A 21641-nucleotide genomic window follows, 5' to 3' on the forward strand; every position below is an offset into this window, starting at 1 on the left:
ACAAAAATCAGAAAGCTTTCTGAAGGTTTAGAAACTTTTTAATCACTTAAACATCCCTTCATGTTTATAATAAGGTGAAATCTGGCAAAATGCATGCTTTGTGAGTTTGTGTAGATATAATTAGAAAAAGAAAAGTAGAAGAGTAAGATAGTAATGACAGTTTCCAAGTAAAATACATTGCTTTTAGAATTTTGGATTTTCATTATGTGGATTCATAAAATTAGGGAGAAATGGAATTTTCACAGAGAGAATGGAACATCTTTATAAATGCTTCTGAAGTTCATTGTTAATTGCTGAAGAAAATGACGTTGTATAAAACCAAAATTGAGGGGTGACTTTTGGACATATTAGTTAACTATATCATCGCTATTCTGATACTACATAAAAAGGGTGGGTCGGGGGTAGAACACAGATCTAAAATGACAACTTTTTTATAGGAAAAATACATAACCTTGTTCTTCCCTCCCTAGCAACTACAGGAAAACAAATGTTTTTGTAGAATTATAACTCATTTATTGCATTAATGTGTTATGATGCATTAAGGAATGTCACATGTAGATTATGAGTTACTGGGCATCTGGTATAAACAGCCATATAGCCATCAATAAATATATCCATTATTTGGCTAAATCCTCTTTCAAATTCTCATCATGGGTGATTTTGATGGCAATACAAGCACTGACAATCTCTCAAATTCTTAAAATCTACAGACCTTGAAACCAGATCAGCTTTTGCTAAATAGCTAAACTATTTCCAGCTTTCCTCTCTGGTTAATTTTTTTCCCAACTATCCAGTGTGTTGAATAAAAACTAACTTCTCACCCTGACCCTCCCATTTCAGCAGACATCCAAAGCAGTTACCAAAGGGCAACAAAACACATTTTCACTGACAAACAACTAGAGGAAAGGAAAGCAGTTACCGTCTCCTCTGTGGCTTAATATCAATTGGCATGTTGATCGCGTATGGTGATCCATGAACATAAGCGCTTCGGAATCTAGCCACCTTCCCCAGAGTCAGGTACTCACAGCTGCTTGGCAAACTCATTATATCCAAAAGGCAAGAAGTAAAAGCAAATCTGAGTAGTCAGACCAGCATTCCTGGGAAGGCTGGAAAGAACATGTCAGATAATAGATTTCAGACATATGCTGCTCACTGGTTGCCCGGTGCTTCTTTGCTTCAAAAGTAAACGCGTGTTTCTCGGAGGCTAAATGTACTACCTTGTTTTCTGTTCATTCTGTTCATGGATACAAGAAGCTTTTTGCTTATTTCTAACCAGGCTCATGCTCTGACCAATTATTGGCTGAGTAGATAAAGCAGAAATTCTGTAGCTCCACAAAAGCCTATTTCCACTCAGACCAAATCTCTGAGTAGGCAGCAAGGTTTTATCCATTTTTGTCTAACGTTGAAAAGAACATCAACCTAATGTAATAGTAGTTTGGTAATCAGAGTTATTTACCTGTAAACAAAGCATGCATATCTGATAGGAAGGAAATAATTATTTGCTATATTTTCGAAGAGGGAATATTGTTCACTAAACTGTTATAGATACTTAGAAAATGAGATGGGTATATGGAAATGTTATGGGCGGTTTTCCAATTCTCTGGTAAAAAAATTGTGGGTTCTTATTCATAAATTACTATTCATGATAGAACTGAACTTAGCCTCTCAGGAACATAAAAACGGTAAGCAATGTCTTTATTCACTAAAACGTTGATGATGATACACATTTTTTTTCCTCGTTTAAAACACTCTTTGAGAAATGCACCTTCTACCTGCACTTTGAACGAAGATCTATGGAATCATTGATAGTGAATGTTACTAATTCTTTGTAAGCTGTTTTTTCATAACAGTGAAAAATAAGTTGGAGAAATTAGAAAGGATATTAAATAATTCTACTGAAGGCAGCAGGGTCTTAGAGAAATGCTGTATCTTTATCCCACAGTTTTTCTAGCCTTTATGCCATTTGCTAGAGTTATAGCAACAAAACCACAAGTGTTCAGGGTAATGAGAGTAGCAGGTGTTCAGAGTATTCTGTGAGATAATTTTTATTTTGAAAAATTATTTCTTATCCAGGATTTGAATAGACACGCCAGTTTATTTAAGCATCCTGGGACCTGGGTAAACATACAGTGTGCTGAAAAAGGGCTACATTTTATTCTTCAGTAGCCAAATTCAGACACTGTTTGGGTTTAAACAGCAGACACTGTTAAAATCCAGAAATTTTAAGTTTGAAAGAGTAGATAATTTTCCTTTTTTTTAAATCTTGTATTTTAGGTTTGGGGGTAGATGTGAAGGTTTGTTACATAGGTAAACTTGTGCCATGGGGGTTTGTTGTACAGATTATTTCATCATCCAGATATTAAACCCAGTACCCAATAGTTACCTTTTCTGCTTCTCTCCCTCCTCCCACCTTCACCCTCAAGTAGACCCCAGGGTCTGTGTCCTTCCTTGTGTTCATGAGTTCTCATCATTTATCTCCCACTTGTAAGTGAGATCATGTGGCATTTGGTTTTCTGTTCTTGTGTTAGTTTGCTAAGGATAATAGCCTCCAGTTCCATCCATGTCCCTGCAAAAGACACGCTCTCATTCTTTTTTATGGCTGCATAGTATTTACCATTTCTATTCAATAATTTTCTTTCTTATATTTTAGGTTTCAATTACAAAATTATACATGCTATTTTTTTAACATGCCAAATGACACAGAAATGTGAAGATAAAAAAGATTGCTGTCTTTTCCCTTCCTTGGTAGGATTAATGGGAGGGAAAAGACAGCAAACTTTTTATTTATACAAATATAAATATACCACACACAATACACAAACCCTCACACATGTATAGGGATTCTCCTTCCTTTTTGAATAAAGTGGGCTCATACTATGTATAATCCTTTATTAATATTAAGTCAATCATGAAAAAATTATTTTTGTGAATGCACAGAGACCTAGTGAGTTCTTTTCAATAGTTATATAAGATTCCATGGCATAAATGTACCATTATTTATTCAATGAGTCCTTTATTGACGGACATATAATTTTGGACTCATATAAACAATAAACACATTTGCTAATATATTCTTACTGATTGGTGCTTGTATTTCTGAAAATGGATTGCTAGCTTACAAATTGTGAACATTTTTCCCTTTAATAGGCTATGGCAGTTCATATTCCCACAGTCATGTTGGAAGATGTCAACTCCTCCACACTCCTGCCAAGACTATCCATTGTTATTCAAGTTTATTTCTTTATAGTATGAAAATAAGGTAGGCAGCTCTCTGAAATATCCAGTGATTGCATACAGTTCCTTGATGAAATAAAACTACTATTAAGGTGTCGCAAAAGTAAGAACAGCCTTTCTGAACTGAAATATATATTGGGACATAAATAAACAGCTTAGAAAGGCTTTGCACAGGTGTACAAAAGGCAGAAGTCTGGAGTCTCATCAGAATGAGAGAACACTCAATGCAAAGTTAGTAAATAGTAAATAATTTTTATTAATTTGCATAATTATGAAGAGAATAAATATAGCAAAAATTCTGTTATGTTTTTACTCTTCAGTATATTTTTCTTAATGGGAATAATATTTCATAATTTGGGAGAAACATCACTAATTTTACAATATGGATGTAATGCCTAATGACTGCCAACTAATTGTGATGTATGACTGGGGTGTAATTTGTAGATTTTGCATAAAGAGGCTCTTTGGACATACTCCTTCATTTGAGAGTCTGAAGAACAAAAGCTCAATGAAGCATTTTCACATGCCAGCTAATTTAGGAGATTGCCCAGTAGAAGAGAATAAGATTTGCTTCACATAAGAATTTCCTAGGAGGGGTAACAATCAGAAATTGAAGAATAAGATATAAACCTCTATGGTAGAGACCTATGTGTCCTATGATGGGTAAAATTCCAGAGTTTTCTTAGCAGGGGCATTTTTGCTTGTACCCAGGTAATTATTTACCAAAAGCCTGGCAGGGGCTCCTGGGGATTACCTGTACTTAAATTTGGATGAGAGAGGATTACTGTTAAACTCCAGCCTGCCAAGAATTCAGAGTCTGTGAGAACTCTGGCCAACTAGCAGGAGGTGGCCCTTAAGGGAAGAAAATGGAATCTTTCTATCGTCAACAATTCCCTTTCTCTGGGGCTGGAGAGAGGTAGTTGGGGACTTGATCTTTAGGAAAATAAGAACACATTGGAGAGTTTAATTTCATCTAAAGATTAGAGCTACCATCCATACCAGGCCTACCTCCAAATAAGGCTCAAATCTTATTAAGGAATGGCCATGATTACCCATCTATGTTTTGTTTGTTTTTGCATACTGGGATTTCTATGGAAGACAGGTATAGAGTCTAGCAAAAATCTCACTTATCATCCCCATGATTCTATGCTCTTGAGAACATTAAAAGAAAAGGAGAACTCACATGAAAGCATCTGGAACATCAATTTTCATCACTATGCTAGACGTTGCAACGTTAATAATGCCCTGCACAGCAATTAAAAGTAATTGCCAGCAAGCAGCAATTTCAATCCATAGGACTTTTCTTCTAATAACTGGAATAATACATATTAATTAAGGTTCTTTCAGCCTTTAACTCTACCCTGGCCTACGTTTAGCAATTTTAAATGCTGGAGGAACTTCTTTAGGATGTTCCTAAAGAAGTCTCATCTTTAGGATGTTCCTAAAGAAGTCTCATCTTTAGGATGTTCCTAAAGAAGTCTCATCTTTAGGATGTTCCTAAAGAAGTCTCATCTTTAGGATGTTCCTAAAGAAGTCTCATCTTTAGGATGTTCCTAAAGAAGTCTCATCTTTAGGATGTTCCTAAAGAAGTCTCATCTTTAGGATGTTCCTAAAGAAGTCTCATCTTTAGGATGTTCCTAAAGAAGTCTCATCTTTAGGATGTTCCTAAAGAAGTCTCATCTTTAGGATGTTCCTAAAGAAGTCTCATCTTTAGGATGAGGTTATCATCTGTTAATGACCACATCAGAGCATAAGAATTGACTGAACGATTTCCCCTGGCTTATGGCTTGGAAGACTCCTTCCCTCCCCAACCCTCGTGTTTTCTGCTCATACCTGGACTGGAGACCCACAAAAATTGGGGTTTGCATCTGCTCTCAATTCTTGGAGTTGTTCTTGATTTTGATCTCTACACTTACTGGTCAATGCATCCAATGAATTGGCTTTAAATATTCTTTATGTGCTGAAAAACTCCCACCTCTTTATTCAGAGTTCACATTTTTCTGCTGTTACCATCAGCTGCACATGAGAAAATTCCACTTGTAAGTTCCATAGCTAGTTCATTTGAGCATTTATAATGTAATTCAAATCAACTGTGTTCCTCCCCTCCTCCACTCCCTCTCCCCACATTTCTTCTTATATTCCCTAGTACTGGCCACCATTCAGCCAATAACCAGACAATAACTGCTAATCAGGTCACAAACCCTAGAGACATGAATACTATTGATAGTAACAATAATATTAATAGTCAATAGATAATAGCTAACACTGATCAGATGCATTCAATGTGCTAGGCACTGTGGTTGGCAGGTTGACTAATTCTCATAAAATATGAGTTGGGCCCTATTATTATACTCATTTTTCAGATGAGAAAAACAAGACACTGAGGGATAAGATATATACCCAAGGTCACATAGAGTGTTAAGTGGTGGAGTCAGAGTTAGGAACCAATTCATCTGATTCCAGAGACCAGACTATATCTTCTACCTCTCTACACATTCTTTAATCTCTCTCAATTATCTTTCCCCCTATGTTTTGCCTAGAGTTAATATTTCCATTTTTTCCTCCTCAAATCTATCCTTCACTTACCTACCAAGATTATCTTAAAATGGAAATCTTAGCAAACTCATGCAAGGACATGAACATGTGAGTCCTTTGCTTGAAATTATCCAATAGTTCCACATTATTTAGTAATGAAGTTCAAAATTTAAATTCCAATACTCAGCACAGAGATGCTCTATTGTTTTGCTCTCCCTTCCTCTCCTGTATCAGCCACAAATAACACTTGGTAGTGTCTTTCCTGTACACAGTCTGTTCTTCTGGCCCACTGGGGCTTCCCAAATGATAGGTACTCTGGCAAGAACATTTTTCTCTTTCTTCTCTGGCTGGCTAATTCCTTTTAAGCGTAATCTCTTCCAAAAAACATTCTTCATTCCTCAGTTTTACTTAGAAGCCTCTCATCTATTTTGCCAACTCACATGACTTTACCACACTGTTTCATAGCTGTTCATGCATTTACAACTCTTCCCCATGACTTTTCTTGAGGGCAGGAATTCTGCCTTCTTTGACCTTGTAATCCAGGAACCTAAAACAACATTTGCTTATTGAACAAGATAGCTGAAATTGTAAGGTCCTGATGCTCCAAAGAACTGTCCAAGTCTTTCCTGAACTCCCTTCTCAGTTACTTTCCCAAGAATAATAATTATAAATATTTGACAACTGAAATACATTGGAAGTAGTGGAGCTATTCATCATATGCAATCAAACAGAAATACTTTGCAAAGAGTGCCCAAAGGAACATGAGAGCAACATCTTTTCTCAGGAAGCAAGGGATGAATGTGGATTTTAATTAGAGGTGTTGGAGATGTGCCTGCCTGGGCTATCAGTTTCAGTTCAGTAAAGAAAAGTTATCCAAATACTTGAATAAGCTCAGTATAATGCCATTATTTAATCAAGCTCTGTGTTTTGAGAGTGTACTGGCAAATTCAAAATTAATTAAACACTCTTCTATTAAGGGTCAGCTACTTATGTTCATACATTAGCTTTTCTTGTTAATCTACTCTTAAACACTGCATATATTACACTTTGCAGTCTTACACACAATGGCTACAGTCAGAAGGAAATAACAGTGCAAATGAAGATTTAACTATCATGAAGGTCATCACAGTGTCTTACAAAATAATAAAAAGATGTAAATATCTTTAATGCCCAACTACTTAAAATAAGGAATAGCCAATCAATGTGAATATCATGAATCCATTAAAATAATGATATTGAAAAACTTCCTTGGTATTTATCTAAATGAGTTGAAAGCTTACATCCAAACAAAAGTCTTCATCAACTGAAACAAACATACTATTCTAGTAAAAGATGTTAACATTCAGATGGATAAGTAGTTTCTCAGAAATTTTATTAGCATGACCTAATCTCTCAGATTGTAAAAACTGTTGAGACTGAATTGTATGTCTTCTTCGAAGTTAAAGAACATAAAATCCCATAAATCAGCTAGTCAGCAGGCCCACTTAATTTTATAACAAGGATAACTTTTGATCAAATCAATCAACTGTTTTGTTTTTATAAGCAGGTAAGTTTGAGATGAATGAAGCATAAGGTCTCATCTTTTTAAAAATGCTTTATTCTCCAGCTAATGGAGCCTCTTTGAGAGCGGTTTCTCTCAAAATATTATTTTACTATTAACTGTCATTGCCTCCAAAACCCAACAGAAACCCGTTGGTCACATAAAGGCAAGTTTATTAAACCTACTTAAGTAAAGGAGAAAACCACATGGACGGATACCTTAGAAGAGGAAGTTAGTGAATCAGGTATCTAAGTAAGTTTTGTTTGTTCTGCTTTGTTAAATACAAGGACAGTAAATTAGGCCTGGTCCAAGTGCCATTTAACAGGTACCGGAAATTATGCTGGTTTCAATTCTCCCATCCAACAAAAGCCCTTAGCTACTGGTAATCTTATCTCAACAAACCTATTATATATCCAAAGTTTAGGCTGAGCTAAAGCAGCAACAAAACCAACTGAATAAAATGATGCTCATTCATTGAAATTTCAGGTAGGCCCACACAATTCATATTTCCAAGCTCTTTATAAGCTGTTTGAATGTTAAATGGAGTGGCATTTTGCTTTAGAATGTATAGAAATGGAAACAAATGAGTTTAATATACACAACAGGCTTTGACAACATGACTTCTTCGACAGATGTCCTATACTACTTCCCACACTTTCATCCTTAAAAAGCATAGTCTACTTGCCAAGATACAAACGGTTGCCAATATTCAGCTGCAAAAGAATTTCCAACAGTAGGAACCAGTGGAAAGAATTAAAACACTTTAAACTTATTTCCAAATAACCAAATGTATCATTATAAAGTTGTAAGATAAAAAATAATCATGCTGCAAGTTCTTACTCTGTCAACTAGCTAGTTCAGCAAAGAGGAGGGGTCTTTGGCAAACAAGGCTCTATATTTGGTTGCCAGATGACTTTTTTAAATCTATCAATTCATTTTTCTACCCCAACCAGCCAGCCAGCATTAATTGAGCATGTACTATGTATACACACAAGAAGTAGATGGCATAACTCCTATCTAGGAAAAAAAAAAAGCATACAATTCATTTGATGTGCAATTCATGCATCAAGACAGGACTGATTTCAATTGACAATATTATGAGATAGAAATAAAAGTGGTACAGCATCAGCGTATTAGTCTGTTCTCATGCTGCTATGAAGAAATGCCTGAGACTGGGTAATTTATAAAGAAAAGAGGTTTAATTGACTCACAGTTTTGCATGGCTGGGGAAGCCTCAGGAAACTTACAATCATGGCAGAAGGCACCTCTTCACAGGGTGGCAGGAGAGAGAATGAGTGCCAGCAGGGGAAACACTAGAAGCTTATAAAACCAGCAGATCTCATGAGAAACTCACTATCACGACAGCTGCATGGGGGAAACTGCTCCTATGATTCAGTTACCTCCCACCGGGTCCCTCCCACAACACATGGGGATTGTTGGCTGAACTATAAAATTGGAACTATAGGAATTATAGAAATGAACTATAATTCAATGGGAACTAGGATTCAAGATGAGATATGGGTGGGTACACAGCCAAATCATATCAGTAATTCTGTTGGAAACCTTGTGGCTGGCTAACATCACATCAAGCTTAATTCAGCTTGCACCATCATTTACTGCTTTTTATTGTATTTTTAATGTTCTCTGTCCTAAAGTGAATTCTGAACCACAAGATAGGAAGATATATGACTTGTCTTTAAATTCACCACAGTGCCCTGTACACTGTTCTATATATATTGCTACAGTGCCTAGTATGTGTCTCTGAAAATAGTAGATGCAAGGTAAATATTTATTACTAAAAAGATGTGCAAGCATATTTTACGTTTGTCGAGTTTTTAAACTAGGGGACTTTACTCTTCAGTTTGTCTGAATAGTATACAGCTATTGCCCTGGAATGATGATTAAATAGTGCCTCCTTTTACTTTTGCAATATTATTGCTTGGATTATAAATTATCTGGTTATCTTCTGGCTCTGGAACTGCACACTTACAATGTTGCCTCAACCACTTCTGAATGCATCTCAGAGGCAAAGACTGAGGCTTACTCATTATTGCTTCTCCAAATCTATTTCTGTACTCCACCTCTTCTAGGGTCTGCATCAATGATCCAAGGAAAAAAAAACAAATAATAGAGAAACTCATAATAAACTAAATCAGATTGAATACATCTAGAAAAGAAACAAAAGTGATCCACATGGAGATAAATTAGGCAGGCAAATATTGACCTGAATGTTCTCCTAAATGTAAATGATACAAAAGTTGTCTCCTTGTATTTAAATCCATACAGCAGTGAAATATCATTGTCATTGTCAAATATCTCTAGATCCCTGAGTTTATTCAGCATAATTTCAAAGTTATTTGCTTGCAGGGAGAGATCAAGAATGAATATGTTGGGGCTGGGTGCAGTGGCTCACATCTGTAATCCCAGCACTTTGGGAAGCCGACGTGGGTGGATTACTTGAGGTCAGGAATTCGAGACCAGCTTGACCACCATGGTGAAACCTCGTCTCTACCAAAAATACAAAAATTAGCTGTGCATGGTGGCACACACCTGTAATCCCAGCTACCTCGGAGGCTGAGGCAGGAGAATTGCTTGAACCCTGGGAGCCAGAGGTTGCAGTGAGTGAAGATCGTGCCACTGCACTCCAACCTGGGTGACAGAGCAAGACTCTGTCAAAAAAAAAAAAAAAAAAAAGAATGGGGATGTTGGTTTCAGAGCCAAGTGACTTTGGGTCACAATGCTGCGCTGCCATAAATGGCTTCGGTAACCCTGGGGAAGAAATAACACCTTTCTGGTATCAGTTTCCATGACACTTAGGCCTTATTCACTCATTCAACAAATATTTATCAAGTTACTATTCTAGGCTCTGGGTACCCAGTAGCAAATAGAACACATGCAAATATTCCTGCCTTTATGGAGCTGACATTCCAGTAGAGATAGGTAAATGGACATAGTAAGTAAAATATATAAGAGAAATGATAACTGATACAGAGGAAAATACAGCAGGGAAGGAGCCCAAGGAGTTCAGGGATGGGGTGAGAAGAGGGACTGCTTTGCTGCCATGGAGCCCTTGGGGTTGGGATATAGGGGACATAGGATGACTGAGAGGCTGGTCTTCCTGTGATGACTGACTCAAAAAGGGATAAAAGGGTAGAAAACACTCTGTAGAGGTAAGCAGCTAGGTGCAGGCATGGGCAGTGGTTGGTACACTGCTTGTTAAATAAATTAGGAAGTGAGTGAATGAATGAATACCTTCAATAGATATTAGCTGCCATCCTAAGATGTAGCAAATCTGTCACCTGAGAAAATAATCCAATGAAGCTAACGTCACCTAGAGCTTAACCATTAAGATTCTGTAAGTTTCTAAACTGAAACATCTCTCTTAATTAATGAAAGAGATTCATTTTTTCGGTCATGATTCATTCCTTTCTTGATAGACTATTGCTACGTTATCACTAGATAATTTAATATATGCAATTGTGATTTAGCAGTCACTTAAAGTTTTCATATTAAATTTGATGAATTAATCCCAAATCTAGGTAACATAGAATGTAAAGGCAATAATGGAAAACATAAAGTGGTGACAAATTAAGAGTAAATTAGTTACAAGTAGCCTAAGACCTTACTAACTACCTTAATTATTTAGCAACAGAAACCGGTGCTAACATTTTAAACACCTTTACTTATTCCCATCCAAAAAATAATCAGTTACAAATGCATAGAATAGTCACTACTGATAACAATTACAACTAATATCTATTGAACATTTACTTGGTGCCATCAAGCACTATTCTAAGAATTTTTCATGTAACACTGGTCGCGGTGGCTCACACCTATAATCCCAGCACTTGGGGAGGCTGAGGCGGGCAGATCATCTGAGGTTGGGAGTTCAAGACCATCCTGACCAACATGGGGAAACCCCATCTCTACTGAAAATACAAAATTAGCTGTGCATAGTGGTGTATGCCTCTAATGCCAGCTATTCAGGAGGCTGAGGCAGGAGAATTGCTTGAACCTGGGAGGCGGAGGTTGTGGTGAGCCGAGGTTGCACCACTGCACTCCAGCCTGGGCAACAAATGCGAAACTCCATCTTGAAAAAAAAAATTTTCATGTAACAGATCCTCATAGTTAAAAGGTTCATTAGAAGCCATGGGAAATTCAGTCTTCCCCTAATGCATGAACAGCCTTGAAGGAAAAACAAATATCTGGTTCTGGCATGAGGAGCCCTGCTTCATGGTATGCTTATCTTTGAGCAGATTTAAATGCTTATCTTTGAGCAGATTTAAATATCGAAAATTTAAATATTGAAAAGTTTGAAGATTTAAATATTGAAAAGTTCTTTGTATCAAACTAAATTTCACCTTTCTAAAAGTGCTATTCTTTGATCATAGTCATTCAAAAACAAGCCTGAGTCTTATTTATTTATTTAGAAGCAGGGTCTCACTCTGTCACCCAGGCAGAAGTGCAGTAGTGTGATCTCGGCTCATTGCAGCCTCCACAGCCTGGGCTCCAGCAATCCTCCCAGCTCAGCCTCCTGAGTAGCTGGAATTACAGGTATGGGCCACTGCACAAGCTAATTTTTTAAAAATTTTTAGGAGAGACAGTGATTCACCATGTTGCCCAGGCTGGTCCTGAACTCCTGGACTCCAGCGATACACCTGCCTTGGCCTCCCAAAGTGCTGCGATTACAGGCGTGAGCCACTGCACCTGGCCCTGAATCTTTTTAATATGAAAACCTCAGATTATCTAAACAGGAGTTTTTATTCTCTCCCTTTTCCAGGCCACATCAGTCTCGGTTCTTTTGGCAGTTCCGAAGACATCATGATTCCCAGATGCTTCACCATCCTGGCAACACCCTTCTGGACTGATTGCTCCTTGTTGATTTCCTCTTAACCTGTGGTATCTGAAATGAATCCCACACCCCAGGTGTGATATGACGATTGCAGGGCACAGAATGTCAGTCAGCTTAATTTCTCTGCTGTACATCTATGAATAAGGCTTAAGACAGAATTCCTCACATATTCTTCATTTACATGCCATCACCCTTGGGCCTCTACCATCCAATTCTAATTAACTGTGCACTTGAAATTGCAGTCATTTTTATTAGCAAGCTTAAATAACTATTGACTCTGACTTTGCATTCCAGTGTATTTACTATCTCTTTATGTTTCTGTATATTTGTTTGATTGGATGAACGGTCTTCCATCCAGGCAAATATTTAGTCTTTACTCAGTATTCTTTATCTATGTTGTTCAACTAGGAAAAAACACACTTAATAGTATTTTTATCCAATTCACACATCCATTATAGCTACCACAAGATACTTTTGCAAATATTTTACCAAAATAAAAAATACACTATTTATACAGCATATTCCTGAGTTACCAGACAAGTGATAGTGAGATTATGGCTAGTTTTGTGTAAAGTGGGAAATGCAAATGATAACAATGGGCTTTGGGACCATTTTTTATTAATGAAAGATAAGGCTTTGTGAGAGAGAAGTAAAAGAAATTATAGGCAGTATCTTGGAAGATCATTCAGATATTAAATTGACTTTGTAATATAGAAAACCAATTTAGTTGAGACCAAGGCAGTGTAACTTGTGGGGAACATCAAATAGTGAACACAGACTGGGGAATGAAAATGTGGTTTGACAACATCCAAGTTTTCATAATAGATAAACTAGGGACAAATCAGCAAGTTAACAGCTTAATACAAACTCAAGGAGGTCAAGTTGCAACATCAGGGTCTTTGAGCTCATTTTCCCTTGAAAGAGATTAAATGAGAGCTCATACTCACTGTGAAGAGTGACACCCAGAGAAAATTCACAGGAGCACATAATGTGAGTGAACAAATATTTAAATAAGTTGGTACCTTTTTGCCTGGAGGTAAGAAGACAGCGGTGATTTAACAACATGTTTTGGAGACTTTCTGCAAAAATTAATGATGCCTATTACATTCTACCTTCTCTTAGGAAATATAAAAGTATGTGATTTTAAAGAAAAGCAGAGGGAATAGGTGCAGCAACCTAGGAAGGTTACCTGGCAGTAGAGGGTCATTAAGCACTGGGTTCTTGTTGGGGAAATTTTCAAAATATCTTCAAGGACCCATTTGTCCACACCCAATTGCCATAGAAGTTCACAGAGGAAAAGCCCAAGCTAAGAGTATATCATTTATATCACCGAATTAGTTGTTGGTAGAAGTCATTGGCCCATACCATCTTGCTACGAAAAGCAACTCTTTTTAACCTTTTCCCACCACTATACAACATTAAAAAGTCAATCACTTAATTCTAATTTATTTTGACCTTAGAAAAACCCAGCAGAGTGGGAAATTTCAACAGATACAAGAGAAAAATAAAATGGCCCCTGTCCTCACAAAGCTTACAATACTTTTTAGAAGAAATGACTTAAACACAATAAATTCTCAGTCAATGTGAGATAGTACCTACTGTGTGGCTCAAACATAAAATGTTATAAGAGTTCAGGGAATGTAAAATCAATGCTCGCATGAAGTAAACTAATTCAGTTTACACAACGACTCTTTTGCTAATCTCATTCCAGGCAGACGACAGAATGCCTGAAAAAAAATTGATTGCGTAGTTTCTAGAATATGAATTTGACAATCTGATCATTTTTCTTATGAATAGACACAAAGAAATAGATAAAGACAGCAAATGTTATACTCAAAGGCTTACATAATGTTACCTTCAAAGATGGCATATGTTTGCACTTTATTTTTTATTTCCATAAAAGAAATGGCAGAATTCCTGAACAGCATGTTCCATTTAGAAATAAAAGCATGTACTCTCTCGTTCTCCTTTCCAATACTGGAAAATCAATAGTGTGATTATATGGAGACAGAAAAGGCCGGGTCATCTGAACTAACAATATCATTGCTATTATTAATAATAAGAGTGCAGTATCTAGAATTTATTTAACGTGATTATTTTGCCATCATGAACAATGTTAATCCCCACAAGAACAGATGGTACAACCATATTTTAAATTATTCAATGAAGTGTGTTTTTTAAATCACAAATGTGTATGAGCAGAGTGGATGCATTTGAAATTTAACCCTTGCTTATATTTTTGCTGTCATACAGTCTAAGAGATAACCAGTCAATGGAGAAGTGGCCTTTTCTCTCTCTTGACCTTTTGGATACAATGATGATAGAAAATAGGTAATGAGGGGAAAAAAAATCACAGAATTTCATATGGAAATTTTTTTAAAGAGAGAAAACAAGAGAAATAAATGACTTGTTTAGGGTGGTACAAGAGGGTAACACTAAGGTGGCAGTCTCTTCTCAGTGAGCTAGTAAACATTAAACTATTGAGATCAAACAGGAAGGTATCTAAGCCCACTCTCCAGTGCTTTTCTGCAACGACACGCTCTTCACAGGGAACTATAATTTTAGCGAGCTCCATGAATACTTAGAAGATCATGATAGTCAGGGTACTTGTCTTTTTTGCTTTGGGCTATTCATACTTACAGCATAGTGAGAAAACAAGAGAAAGCTTCTCTGGGGTTTTTCTAAAGATATCACATGCAAACCCTGGGCTTGGCTACAGACCTTGGGCCTTGCTCATAGATATGGAAAAATTGGAATATGACATTAATGCCGAAAGATAACAAAGGAAAATGCTATGACCTGAAAGGTGTAGGATAGAGTGGGTAAATTGGTCCTCCTTGGATCAAATATGGACAGCAGGCCTGAGTTTGTCCAACATATTTTTAATTTTGTTTTTCCTTTTGATCCAACATTTAAAGCACACAGAAAATGTCACATTAAAGTTGAGATTTGGGCTTCTTTTGAATGTTTAGGAGGTTTAAAACCTTCAGTTCCCAGTCGGGCGCGGTGGCTCACGCCTGTAATCTCAGCACTTTGGGAGGCCGAGGCGGGCGGATCACGAGGTCAGGAGAACGAGACCATCCTGGCTAACACGGTGAAACCCCGTCTCTACTAAAAACACAAAAAATTAGCCGGGCGTGATGTCAGGTGCCTGTAGTCCCAGCTACTCCGGAGGCTGAGGCAGGAGAATGGCATGAACCTGGGAGGCGGAGCTTGCAGTGAGCCGAGATCGCCCCACTGCACTCCAGCCTGGGTGACAGCGAGAGTCCGCCTCAAAAACAAACAAACAAACAAACAAAAATACCTAGAGTTCCCCTCCCTACATATTGCCAGCTATCTCCTTCAGATGGGGCAAGCATTCTCCAGTTTGACAATCCCCATTCAAGTTCTGTAACTCAGATACATTTCTTCCTGGTTCTGTAAGTATTTAATCTGAAGGCCTTTCAAGTAAAACTGAGTTAGGAAAAAGTAAATCTGCTACCACCTGGTCAAACTCTTAACCAAAACATCTCTAAAACCAAGCACTTTTAGAGAATGTCCTGTCCTTCCCACCACAATTTACTTACCTACCAGGAACTATTTTCAACTCTTTACGAAGCACTAAACCTGAATTCCAATCGATCTGGAATTACCTCATTTGTTATGTATCAAAAATTCTCTAATATATTATGAAAAAACCTAGGTTTTATTTACCAATGTATGCCTATATTTAAATCAAGATAAATAAGTCAATTTTAGTGAAGGAAGAATCATTCAGTACCACATTTTTCATGCATTCAAGAAACATATCCAGTTTATGCTGGCAAATACTCCCCCAATGGTACTGACATATATTGTTCATCTGGCTTATGGTGACATATCTGAAGTTTCTGATAATTCTGTTCCCAACATTTATATGGTATTAAATTGACCCTATGCAGGCTGAACTGCCTGAAAATACAGATTCTGTTGCAATTTGTCTGTAGTTGTAAAGAAAGTCGATTATTTAATCAGAATTTAAGAAGACTTCTACATGACCTTGATAATACCAATGATTTAGTCAAAATTATTTGACATAATACAGACAAAAATAACACAGTTAACAGAATGTAGCCTTTTTGAGTAGTTTCCGGCAACTTGTAAGCATAGTTTAAATCCAGTCTTAATCAAATGCTTCAGATTAGCAGAAATTCATAGTCTGGGAATTATGTCATGTTGCTTATATAGAATTTATTTATTTATTTATTTACCTACCTATATGGGGAAACAGGATATAATTCACTTTTGAAAAATATATTACTGCCATCTGCCTCACAATATAATTTCTTTTTGATGGCTAGAAATACTAAAGAAGAAGAAAAAGCATGATACACATCAGTGATTTTTAAAGCAGTCTTTTGTCTGCCCCATGGTCATACATACCTGAGTGTTGAGTAGCTATAAATGAATTCCCATGGTTGGTTTAAAGATAGAGTCCCCAGTAACTAAATAACTGAGCTAATATAATTTGCCAGTTTTGGCTTCTGATATAACAGAGGCAATTGTTTAAGAAAGCGTAATGTGAAAATGTTTTAATTAAAAATAGCTGCAAAGACAATTTAATTTGGTCATTGTGCTATATGTATACACATATATTATATAACATATACAATCTTTTATGTATAAAAATATATAGACAAATATCAATGGATCATTTTATTTATATTCATTATAAGTACTTAAGTAACTTGATAATTTTAACACTTATAAGTGTTACCTATATAGTAACAAGAGTGATTCTTCAAACATGTATACCATATGCAAATTCAAACCAATGTTTCCTAAATATTTATTTCAATGAAAAAAATATAGTGAATTCTATTAGGATTAAAGACATTTTTGACATTCTCTTTGGGAATTATCATTACAGGGCACTTCCAGTGTGCATAAGAAAACTGCCTCTTAATTTTATAGTTACTTCTCATTTTGACTCAAAATAGCATTCGCTAACTGGATCATCAACTTTAATCATCAGGCTTAATGCCAAAGGACTTTTGGCAGCTTCATAGAACTAGATAAACCTTCAACAGATGGAGATTTGTCATCAATGAATTTCAAAAACATGTAGCAAAGGCTCTTTTGAAGGTAAGTTCAAGAGGGGAATCCCTGAAATGTTTGAACAATGGCAATATCCTTGAGATATTACTAGTACGGAGCTCCCCACAGGCATCATTGAGAAAGGCTCAAACTCCATTACATTAATGGGTAAGTTCTGCTGTGTTCTAGCCAGTCTTTCTGCCTCTTTTCTCTTCGGTTCATGTGTGTTTTTAAAATAGTAAAACAAAATGTGTGTAATTTCCAGAGTCAATGTCAGAGGTTCACGCTCTGTTTAGACTTTTTGGTTGTGCAGATTTTAACATAATTGCTAAAATGTCTCATCAGAAATAATGAAAAATAGTTATCGCTTTCACATTCCTTTAGTGCACATTCCTTTGCAGCATCCATGCAGGTGCATTAGAGATTTGATTTTTGGGGAACCTAATGAGGGTCAGACTGGTCAGCCTGTGGGTGCTACATCTGCAGTTTACTACCCCAATCCTCTGGTGCTGTGAGATGGGTCAGACTTGGCAGTGGCCAAGATTGATGTTATGTAGACTTTCGAGTTCATGAAGCAAAATCCAAGAATCTTACCTTCACTCAACATGGCTACAACTGAATCTATCAGCTGTTCTTCCCTGATTTACCTCCCTGTACTTTCTCATCTGGTAACCTTCTAGTTATTCTTCAAGATTCCACTGTGATTTCTACTCCATGTGCAAGATTGCTTGCTGGAATGGAGAAAAGGTGAGTGTAGGGAAGGTAAAGAAAACACTCCCTCATTTAGCTATTAATTCATTAATTATCAATAAACACTTTTTAGGGTGTCCATTGTGCACCAATCACACACTTGGGTCTCATGGATGAATATCACATTGCTCCTGCCCTCCAAGGGCCCACCACTGAGGGAAGGAGAGAGACAAGTAAACCAAGCACAATACAGTGTACAAATTATCACAGGATAGATGTATGGGCTTTTAAACACAGCTAAGAAGAAAAGGAATAGTAATTCATCGGAATGAGGAAGTAACATTAGATATAGCTTTGGGACAGTGCACAGAATGTATGTAAAAAACTTTAAGTACTTTTGTAATTAATTTGAAAGAATCTGATTGTGTTATTGTAAAAATGTTTAACAGCTTTCCAAGCCCATTATTGTGCCAGGATTATACTTCCTGCCCCACTGACACCAAGCTGATCTTGCAACCCACTTTGGCCAATGGCATGTGCATGGAAGAGATCTGTGGCATTTCTAAACAGAAGTTTTAAAAAATCACTGTGTGCCCCTGCCATCTCCCAATTTCTTCTGCCTTCTCAGGATGGGCAGCTCATTTAGGGTTGGTTCCAGAACAAAACGAACATATCAATATCATCCAGCCAAGAACAAGTAATGAGAGCAAGAAATAAGACTGTGGCTGTAGCAACTGAAATATCAGGGTGGTTTGTAACCTCAGCCTAATTAGTCAAAATAAGCTGAAACAAAGAAGCTCATCGTAGTCAGGGGCAGATTTTAAGAAGACGTGTATTTCTTTATTCAAAGCAGGCTGACACACGGATGTTGAGCTGGTAAAGGCTAAAGTATTTTGTAAAATAAAATGGTACCTTCTCTAACCTTTCATAAGGTTTTTGACAATAAGCTTTAAGATTCTCTGGCTGCCAAGTGAGGTGGGACTCTCCATGCCATGCCCCAATATTCCCTCAACCACACTGATGAGGAGATTTTGCCTATTTCCCTTCTCCATGTTCATTTCCCTGGCTCTGGGGTCTGTTCTCACACCTGTCTCTTCCCATTGTTACTCCCTTAGTAAGCAGTGCTTGAGAGTGCAGGTTGAGCTGGCAATGAAGTCTTTTGAATTTTCAATACATCTGGGTATTACTTCAAGTATCATTATAACAATAATACACTAAAGTTTGCAACAGAAATAATTGCAGCCACAATTCAAAGAACACTCTTTTGCAGTGGTAAGTCTCAAATGTGTTTTGTTTTGTTTCTGTATCAATATGGAGAGTAAAAAGGAAGAATGTAGAATAATGTAGTAGAATGTTGTAGTTTTGGAATATCCCTTTTTGGCGGGGGAGGTGGAAGGACATCCAGGCTAGAGTGCAGTGGCACAATCGCTGCAACCTTGACTTCAGGACTCACACGATCCTCCCATTTCAGCCTCCTGAGTAGCTGATACTACAGGTGTATGCCACCATGCCCAGCTAATATTTTTTTAAATTTTGTAGAGATGGGGTCTTGCTAAGTTGCCTAGGCTAGTCTTGAACTTCTGGGCTCAAGTGATCCTCCCGCCTTGGCCTCCCAAAGCACTGGGATTACAGGAGTGAGCCACCATTCCCAGCAGCTAGGGAATATCAACAACAACAAAAAACTGCTCCCCAGGTGAGTCTGTTATAATTTTCTGCCTCCCATCCACATGTTGTCTTCTGACCCCAAATCCAGATTGAAAGGCCCTGCTTCACATATGTGAGAGATTACAAATCAAAGAACAATGCTTTTGATGCATAAAAGCATAAAAATACCATTAGCAGTCCTGTGTTCCACTGTGAACAGCATTAATGCCCTTCACCCAGAGTGTTCCAGCATCTTCCTGAGTTACCTGAGATCATCCTGCTTTGTACATGTTGCTGGGTTTATGCCTGTCTTCTTGTGAAGTTAGTAATAGTCCCCCTTTTACTACTTGAGACAGCAAATTATTTGATCACTCCAAATCTAGGTTCATTACCAAGAAATGTTGAGGCCCAGGAAAAGTTTGTGCTGGAAATTTTCCACAGTGCTCCCTCACATTAAGCAGATATAGTTTTTCTCCCAAATCGATTCCTTCTAACGTCGTTATAAAACTTTAAAAATGCTCTACCCAGTAAAACCTTGAACCCATTGTGCAAAAGTATTCCTTATTTAACCTTGGAGCCTTTATATGAATTTTTCATATTAAACTCCCTTACTTAACTCCCTCTTCTTACCTGCCACAAATATCTTTACTCATAGCATTCATGGCTTCCTTCATAGGACAGAGAAATGTATCAAATGATTTTAGTTTAGGAACCAAAAGAACAACACTGTTTTCAGCACGTTAAAAATGCCTATATTCTAACATTGGTTAAATTATGTAGGTTTTCTCAGTCTGAAGTCTTATGTTGGTGGGGGATATGGCAGGGTGTGTAATTAGTTAAGAGTGGCAGGAAAAAAAAAACCACCTACTTTATGGTCCACCCCCATTCCCAATCTCCACTACAAAACAGGGAGGAAGCTCCACAGAACTATGATTTCCTTGAATCACTTCAATTTGTACAACACTATATGCAGAACTTTTATGAAGCAAAGATTTGAACTATTAATAATAGCTAACATTGCAGCTACCCAAGGGCACACATATCTCTACCAAATGGAAGCTGACTAGCAGAATTCAGTTTCTATGTGTTTGCCATTTAGCAGTTATTTTTCCACCACTTGGGTTATAATGCACCATACTGACATCCAGAGCAATGCCATTTCTGCCTTATTTTAAGATAAAATGCTAAACCAAAAGCTCTATTCTGACTATGTAAATGATCGCCTTGTGCCAACTGATTAGCATTTTTAAGGCAAAAAATTTCAAAGAGATAGCATGTTACACACATTACACTTAGCGTGAAAGCAAATAATATATTGGCTAATGTTTTTGTAGCACCACAGTCTTTCTCTGACCTATGAACTATAAGTAAGATGGAATGTGTTATTTAAGATTTTTTCTCTAAAATAAGTTTCAATTCATAACAATAAGTTCACAACTCAATCACTCTGTCAGTATTGGCTGGTAACAAAAGGAACCTGGTGGGTCAGCAGTTTAGCACTGAGTACACTGTGTCCATCTAGTGGCCAAAAGGTGACTGAGTGCTCTAAAGAGGTTTCACAGCATAAAGAATAAAAGGCAAGGTGGCTGGTTTTTTAAAAACAACTTTAACCCAAACACTGTGCACACATTTTTAAATTCTAACAACTATTAATCAAATCACTTTCATTTTCTGCAAAGACTACAGCAAACGTCCTTCTTCTTTCTTCTCAAATACTTGAGTCCCCACTTCCCACACACAGCAGATGATATTCCTACTCAAAGAGAAAATAGTAACCATCAAAAAGGAACATTCTCCATGTCCAGCCATCAAAATGACAAACACATCTACTCCCACAGTCATCATTTCCATTTTCCCTCCTGTTACCAACTCGGGCAAATCCTTCCACCTGTGCTTTGGTTCTTTGTCCTTCTCACATTCTCTGATACGCAGCTTCATCCATTTTTCCCTTACTCTTTTCCTCCTCTTTACCAAATCTTTTCCATAAGCACTTATTTTTCACTGTACAAAATAAGATCCCTCTCAATTCCTACTTCCCTATCCAGATACTTCTTACCTCCTCCTCACTCTGAGCATAATTTCTTGAAATAA

At 37.2% G+C, this 21641-nt stretch overlaps 1 protein-coding gene across 26 annotated transcripts in view; it reads right to left on the reverse strand.

Annotated features, from left to right (window-relative positions):
- The window catches only part of PDE4D (phosphodiesterase 4D), a 1553091-nt gene that overhangs the window by 460337 nt on the left and 1071113 nt on the right, over window positions 1-21641 (reverse strand). Inside the window, exons 2-3 of one of the 26 annotated variants that reach the window (NM_001349242.2) lie at window positions 5068-5250; window positions 920-1106 (exon numbers count right to left, since the gene is read on the reverse strand). The exons of the other annotated variants lie outside the window; for them this stretch is intronic. Coding sequence (NP_001336171.1) covers window positions 920-1044 — 125 coding nt within the window. The 5' untranslated portion in view covers window positions 1045-1106; window positions 5068-5250. The remainder of the gene's footprint in view (window positions 1-919; window positions 1107-5067; window positions 5251-21641) is intronic. 26 annotated transcript variants of the gene reach the window in all.

Source organism: Homo sapiens, chromosome 5 (genome assembly GCF_000001405.40).
Source record: "Homo sapiens chromosome 5, GRCh38.p14 Primary Assembly".
Taxonomy (NCBI): domain Eukaryota; kingdom Metazoa; phylum Chordata; class Mammalia; order Primates; family Hominidae; genus Homo; species Homo sapiens.